General features: G+C 58.3%; 1 protein-coding gene across 1 annotated transcript in view, besides 3 other annotated features; it reads right to left on the reverse strand.

Moving 5' to 3' along the window:
* GALNT9 (polypeptide N-acetylgalactosaminyltransferase 9) overlaps window positions 1-15,740 on the reverse strand; it is a 133,218-nt gene that overhangs the window by 86,928 nt on the left and 30,550 nt on the right. Inside the window, exon 2 of the mRNA NM_001122636.2 lies at window positions 2,951-3,131. Coding sequence (NP_001116108.1) covers window positions 2,951-3,131 — 181 coding nt within the window. The remainder of the gene's footprint in view (window positions 1-2,950; window positions 3,132-15,740) is intronic.
* Window positions 478-1,131: an enhancer, noted in NCBI's record as "H3K27ac-H3K4me1 hESC enhancer chr12:132860363-132861016 (GRCh37/hg19 assembly coordinates)". NCBI's record gives its function as "activates a minimal SCP1, AML or CMV promoter by ChIP-STARR-seq in primed H9 embryonic stem cells {active_cell/tissue: H9 hESC(primed)}" and the evidence as "EXISTENCE:reporter gene assay evidence [ECO:0000049][PMID:30033119]".
* Window positions 1,786-2,439: an enhancer, noted in NCBI's record as "H3K27ac-H3K4me1 hESC enhancer chr12:132861671-132862324 (GRCh37/hg19 assembly coordinates)". NCBI's record gives its function as "activates a minimal SCP1, AML or CMV promoter by ChIP-STARR-seq in naive H9 embryonic stem cells {active_cell/tissue: H9 hESC(naive)}" and the evidence as "EXISTENCE:reporter gene assay evidence [ECO:0000049][PMID:30033119]".
* Window positions 3,158-4,357: an enhancer, noted in NCBI's record as "P300/CBP strongly-dependent group 1 enhancer chr12:132863043-132864242 (GRCh37/hg19 assembly coordinates)". NCBI's record gives its function as "activates an origin of replication core promoter dependent on BRD2, BRD4, P300/CBP, MED14 and CDK7 cofactors, with strong dependence on P300/CBP, by STARR-seq in HCT116 cells {active_cell/tissue: HCT116}" and the evidence as "EXISTENCE:reporter gene assay evidence [ECO:0000049][PMID:35650434]".

Consider the following 15,740-nt stretch of genomic DNA (forward strand, 5'->3'; position numbering starts at 1 on the left):
CCCGGGTCGCGCCTTCCTCACGGCTGGAAGCCTCCCAGGTGACGGGAGGAATGATGGGGACGGGGCGGGGTACTTGGAGACCTTCCTCTGTCAGATGGCTCTGATGTTTCCACTGTTGCTGTGAGCAGGAAAGGGTTAACTTGGCAGCTGGCTCCTCCACACCCTGAGCGCCCACATCCGGCCCCTCCTTGCCCCGGAACCTCCTGCCGGAGAGGACAGCCCTGCTCACCTGGCCTTGGCAGCCCCAGCTGGTCTGTGCAATGGTGGGATTCACGGTGGGCACTTGGCCTCACGGCATCAGCCTGACCTCTGGAGGGTGGAGACCAAGGTCAGCCATGTCCACGAGACCAGCCCAGTGAGGACCATGGTCACCGAGGCTCGGGGGCTCCTGGCTGGCCTCGCTTGGCACGTGTTGTCACACATGGGTGCCGGAGAATCAAGTCCATGGGACCCCCCCCCAGGAGGGGACACCTGGGAGCTCGCACCTGGCCTCTCCTGGGCCCTGCCTGGGCATCTCTTCCCTCTGCTGACTTTAACCCATGTCCTCTGCTGTGAGAACCCACAGCAGGGAAAAGCAGCCTGTCTGGGCTCTGTCTGTCCTTCTAGCAAGTTGTGGACCGTCAAGGTGGTCTCGGGGGTCTTCCTGCCACACAGCTGCCTGGAGGCTCACAGCCAAGAACGGTGCTCACTCCAGCAGTGGGGCTAGCCCTGAGAGCAAACAGATTTCACCCCCAAATTCAGGACACACAGGAGCGTTCAAAAACCACACACACACGTGCACACATGCACACACACGCATGTACACACGCACACATATGCACACACGCACATGCACGCACACCCACGCACATGCACGCACACGCACGTATACACACACACGCACACCCACGCATGTGTGTGCACACGTGCACACACAGACTCCTGTGCACACATGCACACATGCGCACACACCCGCACACATGCAGGTGCACACGCACACACCCACACCCACCCGCACACAACGCGCGCGCACGCACACACACACACACCGTGCACCCTCAGTGCACAGGCTGGCTAACACACACGAGCCGCTTTCCAAACCGAAGTCATTCCAGCCCCATGCCTGTAGCTGGCGCCACATGAAAACACCACTGTGTTCTTATTTATGGAGCATGTTTCTTTAAACTGGCCTATTTTAAAACTAAATGCATTTTTTATTTGAAAGGGAATCTTCATTTCACCGCTGCAAATGGAAAGCTGGCATCACTTGTGTTAAATCATGGTAACCATGAAAATAAGTAGAATGAAAATAAAATAATGTTGTCACACTCTGGATGTGGCTGAGGTGTCCAAGCCTCCATGCCCAGGCCTCAGCCCTGTTTGTCTAAAGGACTCGGGGAAACCCCCTCCAGGAGGAATCAGAGCCTCGGGAGCTGGGCACGCCTCACTCGCACTGCCGTGCTGTCTAAGGAAGCTTCATCACACCTAGAATCAGTCCCCAGCACGCATTTGTGGGAAGGGTGTGAAGTGGGCCCCACCTGGCTAGAACAGGGAGCTCCGGGTTCCTGCACCAACCTCCACGCAGCCCGGGGCGCTCCCTGCACCCCTGGACCCTGCGGGCCTGTCCAGCATCTCGCCTCCCTCTGTCCACACATGGGGAACCCCAGAGCAGGTGAGTGAACGCCCTGGGAACCACTGCCTGAGTCACAAGGAATGGAATGGGGCTGAGACACGCCTTTCCTCCTCCCCTCTCTTCCCTGCCAGCCTCCTGATCCCCATCTCAAATGAGCTCCTGGCCCAAGAATCCCGGTGTCAGGGTTCCCTGGCGGGTGGGGCAGGCTGACCACACCAGGAGCTGCAGAGGGGGCTGCCCTCCTGCCTGCCCTCCCTCAGGCAGCTCCAGGAGGAGGCAAGTGTGGCTGAGGCCACCTGCCACCACCCCACGGTGAAACGCGGCCCCACTGGGCAGCCCTGAGCGCCCGGCTTCTGCAGGACAATGCCACCAGGGGCCCTCCCAGGGAGCATCCTGTCGCGGGCTGGGCTCTGCGGACAGAGACGCAGGAGGGGCTGGCCAAGCCTGCCAGTCGCTCCCAGGCCCAGAGGCCAAGCTCAGCCAAACTTTATCCGAGCAACAATGCCAATTAATCTGGCGCTTGTCGCGGCTACTCCCTCAGGGCAGGTGTGAGGGTCAGCGACCAAGCTCCATCCTGAGTGGCACTGAGGCAAAGCCGTGGCGGCCAGGGCCCGGCTCCTGATTCACCCGCTCTTGCAGCCTGGGGGCGACAGGATGGGAGGTGCGCAGGCCACGGATGGAACGGGAATGCCCTTCGCTTCAGACACAAGCGACACCCAGCTCAGCAGTGACTGAGGCCACAGCAGGTGGGACCAGGGCTGGCAGGGCCTGACACAGGGCGCCTCTGCTGCGTGAGCCATGGTGCCTCAGCCCAGCTTCCGTGATCCCCAGATGCAGCTATGGCAGGAGTGCCCCAAGCCTGGGGCTAGGCCCTGGGAAGGATGCCCGCAGCCAAAAGTAGGGGAGGGGGAGAGACACAGAGAGATAGAGAAAGACAGAGAGAGATACAGAGAGATTGAGAGAAGGAGAGAGGGAGAGACAGAGAGAGACAGGAGAGACAGAGGAGGAGAGACAGGGAAGACAGAGGAGGCAGGAGGGCCCCACAGGTGGGGGCTCCTGACTGCTCCACTTTCCCACAGCAGACCTTTGCGCGTTTCTCCCAGGAGCCCGCAGCTCGTGGGGGCAGTCCCCGGCCAGCACGGGGGAGCGCTCACTTTCCCGGCCAGCGTGGGGGGCGGTCACTTCCCCGGCGGGCGTGGGGGGCGGTCACTTCCCTGGCGGGCGTGGGGGCCGCTCACTTCCCCGGCCGGCGTGGGGGGCAGTCACTTCCCTGGCCAGTGTGGGGGGCGGTCACTTCCTCGGCGGGCGTCGGGGGATGGGGGGCAGTCACTCACTCACTTTCTGGGCCGGTAGTCGGGGATGCTCCGATCGAGGGAGATGCGGTCGCTGAGCTGAGCGTTGTAGCCGTACTCCTCATACTTGCCTTCCGCCTCCTGGCCGTCATCACGCAGGGTGGCCGCCAAGCCACCCTGGCCCAGGCCTCCTGGCCCCTCCACCAGGCCGATGGGCTTGGCAAGGCCTGGGGGAAAGGAAGAGAGGGAGGTCAGGCAGGCCCAGGACACGCTGCGTCTGCACCCAGGAGACGCCCCTCCCGCCCCTCTCCCCGACGGCCGCTTCCCCCGGTACAAGCCCAGCAAACTCCCTGCAGATGGCAGGCTGCCAGCTCAGGACATTCCAGAAAGTGCAAGGCTGTGCGCGGAGTGAGAGGGCGGTGCCAGGCGGAAGAGGGAGGGATGAATGGGTGGTACATGAGGCGTTGAAGGCAGTGGACTCTGTGTGATGCTGCAATGGTGGATATCTGTTATTATTATGTATTTTTTGATTCAGGGTCTTGCTCTGTCACCCAGGCTGCAGTGCAGTGGCATGATCTCAGCTCACTGCAGCCTGGACCTCCCAGGCTCAAGCAATCCTCCCACCTCAGCCTCCTGAGTAAATGGGTGGGCCTCCACAACTGGCAAATTTTTGTATTTTTAGTGGAGACAGGGTTTCACCGTGTTGGTCAGGCTGGTCTTGAACTCCTGACCTCAAGCGATCCACCTACCTAGGCCTCCCAAAGTGCTGGGATTACAGGCGTGAGTCACTGCACTGGCCAATACTTGTTCTTACGCAATTGTCCAAACGCACAGCAGGTGTGACACTGAGTGAGCGCCCCCCCCCCCCCCCGTGAGCCACAGCCCTCAGTGAGTCACCTGCATCGGGCAGCATCGGCTCATCGACGGTGACACAGTCACACTCACGCACGCCAGCCCCCCGTGAGCCACGGCCCTCAGTGAGTTTCCTGCATCGGGCAGCATTGGCTCATCGACAGTGACACAGTCACACACGTTCACGCCCAGGCGCTGTGCCTGCGGGGCAGAGGATGCGGGAACTCCGCTCAGTCTCTATCAACCCGAAACTGCTCTGATGGTCAGGCCTACTAATGTTAAAAATATTAACCCGAAAATTGCAACGGCTCTAAGATTAGGTATTTTAAACGCCATGCCGCCGCCACCATCCCCACCAGCCCTTGACACCATCCGCCTGTGTAACTTGAGCTGAACACACATCCACATGCGTGCTGCTACTCTGGGGTAGGAAGAACCGAGCCGTCGACACAGGCAGCAGCCGAGACGTGGCTCACACACGTGACGCCAAGCCAAAGATCAACACAGGAGACCTCATCCCGTGTGGCCGCCGGCGTGAGGTTCAAGAACAGACGGAATCACAACCCACCCCATGGCCATCGGGGCAGGACGGGGACCCCGGGGTGGGGCAGTGTCGACTGGAAAGGAGCCGGTGGAACTTCTGGGCTGACAGGGAGGCTCCGCAGCTTGGTCAGGGTGTGTGGAATGGGTGCCCAAGGGGGCCGGGCCAGGGAAAGTTCTAGGTGCTCAGTTGTGCTGGGCAAGCAGACGCGGCTTGGAGATGCTGTTCCCAGGGGGACGGGAGTGAGAGGGGTGTCTCCCCACAAAGATGGCACCATTGGCTGTCTCTGAGCTGGGAGTCTCTGGGGCATCTTGGATTTGGGGGCGGGTGCCTGGGCAATAGTTTTAAGCCAGAAAGAGGCGGCATGGACCCCTGAGGCTGGGCTGCCTTTTGTCAGCTTGCACAGAGAGGTCTCTGGTCCTCGGAGGAAGGCCAGTGGAAACACAAACTTGTGAAATACCCGATGCTAATATCCCACAACTGCCCGCCTGGGAGGGGACCTTCTCTCGCGGCGCCAGCTCCTGGAGCCTGGTGGGATCTCTGTAGGATTCCTGCTATGGGGAGGGAGGGACCGATGCCCTGGGAAGATTCCAGTCTGTGACCCTCCGCCCCCCACAGGGCAGTGAGTGGCTTTCTCCCCTCAGCAGAGCCGAGGCTTTGAGCCTCCCGGAACCTCTGGACTTTCTGGAATATTCCATTTTAAATGAGTAAACAAAGTGTCCGTATTTATGTAGGACTGAAGGATACAGATTGGACGTAGAATTGAAAAATGACACAAATCACTTCCCCTTCTTATTTTAATCCTGTGAGATAAATACGTAATCATGCTATTTTAAAATATCGATACTGCACTTGCATTTTTCACTTTGGAAAGTCTGGAATTGGATGTCTCCCAGAGGCAGGCACAGCAGCTTCTAACTCGAGAGAGAGAGACACCTCATCATCCGTGGGGCTCAGGCCTCAGGTGGGGATTGGCCGCCTGGCCAGAGGGTAGCTGAGCGTGGTTCCAGATGGCTGCCTGATGCCCAGCGTTGGGGGCAGGAGGGTGGCTGAGCGTGGTTCCGGACGGCTGCCCGATGCCCGGCATTGGACCCGGCAGGAGGGTGGCTGAGCGTCGTTCTGGACGGCTGCCCGATGCCCAGCATTGGGGGCAGGAGGGTGGCTGAGCGTGGTTCTGGACGGCTGCCCGATGCCCAGCGTTGGAACCGGCAGGAGGGTGGCTGAGCGTGGTTTCGGACGGCTGCCCGATGCCCGGCGTTGGACCCGGCAGGAGGGTGGCTGAGCGTGGTTTCGGACGGCTGCCTGATGCCCAGCGTTGGACCCGGCAGGAGGGTGGCTGAGCATGGTTCCAGATGGCTGCCCAATGCCCGGCGTTCTGAGGTCAGCAGGACCCTCTTTCTTATTCAGACTGGCATTTTGTTTCTGCCTGTCTCTGGAAACTGATTTTTTTTGTTGTTGGGATCCTAGATTTGGTCAGGGCATATCTTGCCGTGAATCACAGTCATGCGTGGCAATCCACACTCATGCCAACGTTCAGCTCCAGGAAGTTTGCTCTGTTAATGATGTGACTGTATTCCCATCTGCCATCCCTGTTTTCTCTTCTGTAACCCCTGTTAAGTGAACGTTTCCCCTCCCGGTTTATCTCCTGCCTCCCAACGCTTCATTCTCCGTTTTCATTCTCTTGGTTTTCATCTCATCGGCTTGATCTTTTGTCGTGCCATGTTGCCAACTAGCCTGTCCATTGAATTGGTTTTGTTGTCATATATTTAATCCCAAAAGAGGCTTCTTGCTCTCCAGTCGCCCCTGCCTTGCATGAATGGCAAACTGGTTTTACTTTATGTGGTTGGCAGTAGCCCCAAAGCTGTCCACACCCTAATCCCTGGAACCGGTGAGTGTCACGTTACACAGCTAAGGGGACTTGGCAGACGCCCCCTGCTTTGCCTGAATCTGCTTCATTGGCCAGAAGGAGTGGAGGAGCTGGGCCTTCACTGTGGTCACCCGTCACTTGCATGGGGGTTAGGGGACACCCCAGCCACGCTGCTGCTCACAGCTTCCTTGCGGAGGAAGTGAGGGTTGCCAGGCCTCTGAATGAGTGTGTTTTGAAGAGAGACGCTGCCATTCCCATCCTCCCTCCACCCGGGGCTCCATGCCTCCCCTCACTGCTGCGTCTGTGCTTAAGAGAACCAAGCAGCCCCTGGTCCAGACGCTGCTGCCCACTGAGCTGCCTGACTTCTCCTGGCTGAGGGTCCTCCTTGGTCACAGGCGGGTCACCACTGAGTCCCCGTCCCAGGACTGTGCAGATGGTGGAGATGGAGCTCAGGGGTCCTGAGCCCAGCACTGGGCGTGCACTGGGGGTGAAGGAACTTTTGCTGCCTCAGATCCGATCTTCTTCCTTGGCTGGTGGAGTCAGTGCTGTCACCGTCCCATAGCTGCTGAGAGAAGCTGCTCGGGGGACACCAGTGCCAGCAGCACCCACGTTCCTGGCCATGGTGCTTCACTGCTCTCTGCAGTGGCTTCATCAGGGGTGCCAATTTCCCACCTCCCTGACTCAGGGCTTGGTCTCTGAGCTGCCTGTGGAAAGAGGGCCCAAGCGATGATGTCCCTGTTCCCAGCCTGGACCTTGCAGAGCCAGGTGCCTGCCCCGTCTGCCCTCACCACACACAGAGCCCCCATCATGACTGCCCAGCCTGGGCCCTAGGACAGGCCTCGCCATGCAGAGCGGACCGGCCAAGCCACGGACCCTCAGTGAGAGGCGGCCCCACCCCTGCGGCACCATGGGAGTAAGCGAGGCCGTCCCAACGCGCTGTGTCTTGGGGTGATGGGCACGGAGCCATTGCCACCCAACAGGCTGTTCTCTGTGCTGTCCTCTGCCCAGTCCAGGAATAGACAGCACAGGAGGAGGAAGCAGAGGCAGAAACAGCCACAAGCTCATGTCCACAGCACCCACATCCAGAGCACCCACGTCCACACCACCCACATCCACAGCGCCCACATCCACAGCACCCACAACCACAGCACCCACAACCACAGTGCCCACGTCCACACCACCCACATCCACAGCGCCCACGTCCACAGCGCCCACGTCCTCAGCGCCCACAACCACAGCACCCACGTCCACATCACCCACGTCCATAGCACCCACATCCACAGCACCCACATCCACAGCACCCACAACCACAGCACCCACGTCCACAGCACCCACGTCCACAGCACCCACGTCCACAGCACCCACGTCCACAGCGCACACGTCCACAGCACCCACAACCACAGCGCCCACGTCCACATCACCCACATCCACAGCACCCACGTCCACAGCACCCACATCCAGAGCACCCACGTCCACACCACCCACATCCACAGCGCCCACATCCACAGCACCCACAACCACAGCACCCACAACCACAGTGCCCACGTCCACACCACCCACATCCACAGCGCCCACGTCCACAGCGCCCACATCCTCAGCACCCACAACCACAGCACCCACGTCCACATCACCCACGTCCATAGCACCCACATCCACAGCACCCACATCCACAGCACCCACAACCACAGCACCCACGTCCACAGCACCCACAACCACAGCACCCACAACCACAGTGCCCACGTCCACACCACCCACATCCACAGCGCCCACGTCCACAGCGCCCACGTCCTCAGCGCCCACAACCACAGCACCCACGTCCACATCACCCACGTCCATAGCACCCACATCCACAGCACCCACATCCACAGCACCCACAACCACAGCACCCACGTCCACAGCACCCACGTCCACAGCACCCACGTCCACAGCACCCACGTCCACAGCGCACACGTCCACAGCACCCACAACCACAGCGCCCACGTCCACATCACCCACATCCACAGCACCCACGTCCACAGCACCCACAACCACAGCGCCCACGTCCACACCACCCACATCCACAGCACCCACGTCCACACCACCGACATCCACAGCACCCACAACCACAGCGCCCACGTCCACACCGCCCACATCCACACCACCCACCTCCACAGCACCCACGTCCACACCACCCACATCCACAGCACCCAGGTCCACACCGCCCACATCCACGGTGCCCACATCCACAGCGCCCACATCCATGGCGCACACATCCACAGCACCCACGTCCACACCTGTGCTGGCACCCCTGGAGACCAGATGCGCTCAGTCCTTTCCTCCCCCCTGCTTCCCCATCCCCTCCTGTCCCCACACCCTCAGTTGTCCATTCAGCAGCCAGTGTGAGCTTGTAGAGGGTTCCAGAGCCGCTCCCCTGCTGGGAGCCATGGGCCCCAATCCTGCTGCACTTGCGGTTCCGGCTCCTCACGGCAGCTGTGGCCCCCCCAGCCCCTGCAGCCCTCGTGGGTCGCATCCTCACTCACAGTATGCCAGCCACGCTCCTGCTTCCTGCCCCGGGGCCTTGGCTCCTGCCCTCACTCGGACCTCAGCTCTGGGTTGCACCCTGGAGACCTCCCAGGTTCTAACCTGAAGCCATTCCCGGTGACGGCACCTCAGTCCCTGCCTCATTTTCCTCCCTGCCTCATTTTCCTCCCAGAACTCAGAACTCATCACCATCTAAAATCATCCCCTCCGCTACGCTCTCTGCTTCCCCTCAACGTGCAAGAGACAGGACTTTGTCCTGCCTTCCTGCCATCTACCCCAGCGCCTCATGTGTTCACAGCATGTACCTGGAGAGCCGCCTGAGGTGGGTGAATGGATCCCTTCCAAGCGGGTGCCAGGGCACTGCCTCCCCCCATCCCACAGGAGAGGCGGGATCTCCCTCCCCATCCCCGCAATGAAGAGACAGAGATGCCGAGCCACAGACAAGCCCACCCAAGGCTTCACGGGCTCTGCTGGGCCGGACCCGAGTCTCTGACTCCCTCGAGGGCCCTGCTGTAAGGTCCTGGTCTCCACACAAAACGGAGCAGAGCCAGGCAGCACCATCCTGGTCCTGGCTGGGCCCAAACCCCTGGCCCCGGCATTCACCCTACAACACTGCGCAGAATGTGGGAAGAGCCTTGTCTTTGAAGGAAAGTCTCGAGGCCCCACTGAAGCCGGACACCAGGCTCCACTGCCTCCTGGGCCAGAGCTACAGCATCCAGCAGGGCGGGGCGTGCGAAGGAGGCACTGCTTGCTCTGAGGGAGTGGGTGTGAGTCCAGAGAAAAGGGAAGGGAAGGAGGGTGGGGAGAGGGTGGAGTCGGTGAGACGGGAAGTCTGGACCACCGTTGTTCGGTGGAATCCATGGGACACTCATGAGAGCTGTGCGGAGGACGCCGCCTCGCATGTGCAGGGCTTTCACGGAAAATACTAGAAAGAGAGACTTTCCCACCAGGAGGAGAGTCTGAGATGGCACAGGCAGAGGGAGGGTCCAGAACGCACATCCCTAGGAATTCCGCACACTTGAAGGGGTATTTGGGGTTTCAGCTCTGTTCACCAGGTGTGGGAGTGGCGGGGCCAGGGCTGCCATAATCAGGGGGCATTGAGCCTCACCCCACAGTGGGGCCGAGCCGGCCAGGCCTCAACCTTTAGTTGCTGACTTGTGGGGACGCAAGGGGACTGAGTGGGGGGGCTCAGGCAGCTGGGAGGCTGCAGGGAAGGGGCCTCCAGGCAGCATTCACTTGACGCTTCCCAGGGAAATACAGTCAGTTCTTGTCATTTGCAGTGGTTTTGGCTCTAGAGACACCGTGGATGCTGAATGGTGGCTGCTGAGCACTTGCTCCAGGGGGAACTCTGGGCTCCGGGGAGCCTCTGGCCACAGGCTTTCCCCAGCCCCTCAATAGGTAACTTGGTTTTCCATGTGTTTCTGCATAAAGATGCCTTATTTAATACCTATTGACGATTCTTAGAGCCAACAGCTCCATGACCCATGCTGGAGCCAAGCTTCTCCACACACGCATTTCCTGCGAGGCGTATCTCAGACACTTGTGCCCTGGGTACCGACAGCACCTCAGCCTGTGGTTGGTGTGTTCTAAACATTGAAATCACCAAAGCACAAAAAGCACAAAAATGTAGACAACGTGCCACTTAAGCAGTAGTAGGGACCCTGTGTACAGTCGGAGCTGGATGGAGAAGGCAGGGGACCCCCTGCACATTCAGAGCCAGAACGAGAAGCTGGGGGACCCTGTATACAGCCAGGGCCAGAACGAGAAGCCAGGTGAGCCCGTAAACAGTCAGGGGCAGAACGAGAAGCCGGGGGGTCCCGTATACAGTCAGGGCCAGAACGAGAAGCCGGGGGATCCCGTGTAGAGTCAGGGCCAGAACGAGAAGCCGGGGGATCCCGTATACAGTCGGGGCCAGAAGGAGAAGCCAGGGGACCCCATCTACAGTCGGAGCTGGAACGAGAAGTGGAGCCTGGCCCTGTTTGACCAAAGATCTTGCCCCTCCGAGCCTATCTGTGAATGGCCGTGGAAGACCACGAGCATTTGGGGATTACAGATGAATTTTAGGGAGTAGGAACATTTGCAAACACAGAATCTGTGAATGATGTGGCTGACAGTACTTTGATATCCTGGTGACCACTATGGACACATTGGTGGGGCTGGTGGGACTGGGGGGCACAGGCCCTCCTGGGGCACCAGGTCTTCACCATTGACCTCCCCCCAGAGCTGTCCCTGGAGCAGGTGGGTCCAATGAACGAATGACTCTGACCAGAGTCAGCAGAGAGATGGGAGTCGCCTCCCCCACAGCCCCCAGCCTGTGCCCCTGAGGCCCAGTGAGGCCCCTGATGGTGTGAGGCTCCTCCGTGAACAGCAGCCTGAGAACAGTGCTTCTCAAACCCAGCTGTATCACCCGTGGTCCTTGTTAAAACACAGCCCACCAGGGCCCTCCAGAAGTGTCTGATCCACAGGTGCACGTCAGGCAGGAGACTCAGGAGCTCTGGTGACCTCCGGGTGATGCTGAGGCTGCCAGGCTGGGGACCCACTCAGACTCTGGCCTTGGAGCCAGGTCTCAGAGGCTTCAGGCGTCCTGCTCAGGGTGCCAGCGGTCATGTAGCGCCAAGGTGCTGGCAGAGGCTGGGGTCAGGACTAAGAGGGCAGGGCAGGAGCAAGGAGAGGCTGGGGTCAGGACTTCCAGCCAGGAAGGCAGGGCAGGAGCAGGTGCAGACCCGGGGCAGCCTCTGGGAGGGCGGGTGGGGTCAGAGCCGCTTGGCTTTCCCAGTCACGTTCCCTGGAGCGGGAGGGATCTGTTAATAGCTCTGAAAAGTGAAAATCCCACGGATCTGATTTTGCCTGTGCGGAAGGTTGCCGTGGGCGCCTCGCAGCAGGATTTCTGGAGCTCTCATCTTCCCTGTCTCTTATCTCCAGCGTGGCCTCATATCTTCTTTCACAAAGAATTCCTTCCAAGAGGCAGGATTGCTTGATCCCACCAGGAAGCAAGGACAAACGATGAAGAAACTGGTAAAAGTGTGGAGACGCCCGGCCTGCGGCTGCAGGGCTCAAGACCAAATCCCTCTAAACGCACTGTGGGATGGAGCCACCAGTGGTCCCTGTAGCTGCACTGGGGGTCACAGGAGCGGCCGGTGCTGCCACAGCCCAGGGGCCAGAGATGGGGCCTCCAGCCTGGGAAGCCAGCGGGGCCTTCAGACGGGCACCCGGAGAGTTTGCTCTGCTCTTCCCACCCCCAATGCCCTGGCTTCCCCGACAGCCCCATGCCGGGCACCATGCAGGCAGGGAAGGAGAGGCCCAGCGCCAGGCGCTGTGCAGGCAGGGAAGGAGAGGCCCAGTGCCGGGCGCCGTGCAGGCCGAGAGCCAAAGTCTGTGCAGACTGTTGTGGGTTGAATTGTGTCCTCCAGAAAAACAGGCAGAGTCCCAGCCCTGGGGACCTGTGAACAGGATCTTATCTGGAAACGGTCTTCGCTGACGTCATCAAGGTAAGAGGAGGTAGTGCGGGAGTCGGGTGGGCTCTGAGCCAAACATGGTATGTCCTTCTTAGAAGATGAGACACAGAGACACACGCAGAGAAGGGGCACACACGTGAGGGTGGAGGCAGAGACCGGAATGATGTGGCCCCCAGCCAGGGATGCCCAGGTCACCAGGAGCTGGAAGAGGCAGGAAGGATCCTCCCCTGGAGACTATGGAGGGAGCGTGGCCCAGCCAGCACCGTGATTCTGGACCGCCGGCCTCCAAACAGGGAGAGCCTCCAAAAGGGAGAGCCTCCGAACAGCGAGAGCTTCCGAACAGGGACAGCCTCTGAACAGGGACGGCCTCCGGAACAGGGAGAGCCTCCGAACAGGGAGAGCCTCCGAACAGGGACGGCCTCCGAACAGGGACGGCCTCCGGAACAGGGAGAGCCTCCGAACAGGGAGAGCCTCCGAACAGGGACGGCCTCCGAACAGGGACGGCCTCCGAACAGGGACGGCCTCCGGAACAGGGAGAGCCTCCAAACAGGGACGGCCTCCGGAACAGGGAGAGCCTCCGGAACAGGGAGAGCCTCCAGAACAGGGAGAGCCTCTGAACAGGGAGAGGCTCCGGAACAGGGAGAGCCTCCGAACAGGGAGAGCCTCCGAACAGGGAGAGCCTCTGAACAGGGAGAGCCTCTGAACAGGGACGGCCTCCGAACAGGGAGAGCCTCCGGAATAGGGACGGCCTCCGAACAGGGAGAGTGTCCGTTTCTGTTGGTCTAAGCCACGCAGTCTGTGGTGATCTGTCACGGCAGCCCCAAGAGATGACCGCACAGCCTCATGCTCACGCCAGCCGTCCAGCCCACTCAGACCAGCGGACACAGGTCTGTCTGGGATCCAAGAGCAGGAGATGCCCACGCTCACCACCCCATCCACTGATGGCCCAGCTGTGGGCTCTTCCCCGGATCTCATGGGTGTCTTCCTGGGCTGCGTGATATCAATCCCAAGTTTTCCTCTTTGAAATCCCAGCTTCCTCCTCCAGACAGAATCAACACTGCAAGCTTGTCATCTTATCCTTGAATAAGATGTAATTTTGAGAATAATGGGAAATTTGCATCTATTAGCTCAGCCTTTGAAAGGTCTGTCCCACAACTTTCATGAAAAACAAACCAAGCTCAATATCCTGCTGTTCTGAGGTCACAGGCTGGTGGTGACAGCTGACCTGTCACACACCAACTTTCAGCACCATTCCTCAAATGTGGCAATTCACAAGAAAAGACCTTATTTCTCACACTCTGGGAGGCTGGGAAGTCCAAGATGAAGAGGCACGGATCTGACTTCGGCCTCTGTGCTGTGTCATCCCATGTGGACGGCGAGAGCACACACGCATTGGGGGCTGGGCGGGGGGAGGGTGGAACTCTTCCTTCCATCAGGAGCCCACTCCCACACAAACCAACTCACTCCCAAGATACCCAACTCACTCCTGAAATAACAAAGCCACTCCTCAGATAACCAACACATTCCCGAAATAAACAACACACTCCCGAGATGACCAAGTCACTCCCAACACAACCAGCTCACTCCTGAGATACCCAAACTCACTCCCATGATAACTAACTCACTCCGAAGATGACCAACTCACTCCCGAGATAACCAACTCACTCCCAAGATGATCAAGTCACTCCCACCACAACCGACTCACTCCCAAGATACCCAAACTCACTCCCATGATAACCAACTCACTCCCACAATAACCAACTCACTCTGAGATGACCAAGCCACTTCCATCATAACCAACTCACTCGAGATAACTAACTCACTCCCAGGATAATCAAGACACTGCCAAGATAACCAACTCACTCCCATGATAATGAAGTCACTCCAGAGATGACCAACTCACTCCCAAGATGACCAAGCCACTCCCGAGATAACCAACTCACTCCCATGATAACCAACTCACTCCTACAATAACCAACTCACTCCTGAGACAATAAAGCCGCTCCCGAGATAACCAACTCACTCTGAGATGACCAAGTCACTCCTGAGATGACTGAGTCTCTCCCAAGATGACCAAGCCACTCCCACAATAACCAATCACTCCCGAGATAAACAAGCCACTCCTGAGATAGCCAACTCACTCCTGAGATAACCAACTCACTCCCATGATAACCAGCTCACTTCTGAGATGACTGAGTCTCCCCCAAGATGACCAAGCCATTCCCACCATAACCAACTCACTCCTGAGATAACCAACTCGTTCCCAAGATAAGCAAGCCACTCCCAAGATAACCAACACACTCCCATGAAAACCAACTCCCTCCTGAGACAACCAAACCGATCCCACAATAACCAACTCACTCTCATAATAACCAACTCACTCCCAAGAAAACTAACTCACTTCTGAGAAAACCAACTCCCAAGATTACCAACTCACTCCCGAGATAACCAATTCACTCCCATGATAACCAACTCACTCCTAGACAACCAAGCCAATCCCACAATAATCAACTCACTCTCATAATAACCAACTCACATCCAAGAAAACTCACTCACTCCTGAGAAAATCAACTCCCAAAATTACCAACTCACTCCTGAGATAACCAATTCACTCCCATGATAACCAACTCACTCCCACAATAACCAACTAACTCCTGAGATAACCAAGTCATTCCCAAGATACCTAGCCCACTCCTGAGATAACTAACCCACTCTCATGATAACCAACCCATTATTCTGATAACTAACTCGTTCCCAAGGAAACCCACTCCCAAGTTAACTAACCCATTCCCATGATGACCATTGCACCTCAGAGACAACCAAGTCACTCCTGAGATAACCCAGTCCCATGATAACTAACCCATTCCCACCACACTTAACCCACCCATGAGATAAACAAGCCACGGCTGAGATAACCCACTCCCATGATAACTAACCTGCTCCCACCATACCTAATCCACTCCTGATAACCAAGCCACTCCTGAGATAATCCACTCCTATAACTAACCTGCTCCCACCATACCTAACCCACCCGAGATAACCAAACCACTCCTGAGATAACTCACTCCCATAACTAACCCACTCCCACCACACCTAACTCATCCCTGAGATAACCAAGCCACTGCTGAGATAACCCACTCCCATGATAACTAACCTGCTCCCACCACACCTAACCCATCCCTGAGATAACCAAGCCACTCCTGAGATAACTCACTCCCATAACTAACCCACTCCCACCACACCTAACCCACCCCTGAGATAACCAAGCCACTGCTGAGATAACCCACTCCCATGATAACTAACCCACTCCCACCACACCTAACCCACCCCCAACACACCTAACCCATCCCTGAGATAACCAACCCACTCCTGAGATAACTCACACCCATAACTAACCCACTCTCACCACACCTAAACCATCCCTGAGATGACCAAGCCACTCCTGAGATAACCCACTCTCATAACTAACCCACTGCCACCACACCTAACCCATCCCAGAGATAAACAACCCACTCCTGAGATAAATCACTCCCATAACTAACCCACTCGGACCACACCTAACCCATCCCTGAGATGACCAAGCCACTCCTGAGATAACTCA

Source organism: Homo sapiens, chromosome 12 (genome assembly GCF_000001405.40).
Source record: "Homo sapiens chromosome 12, GRCh38.p14 Primary Assembly".
Lineage (NCBI taxonomy): Eukaryota > Metazoa > Chordata > Mammalia > Primates > Hominidae > Homo > Homo sapiens.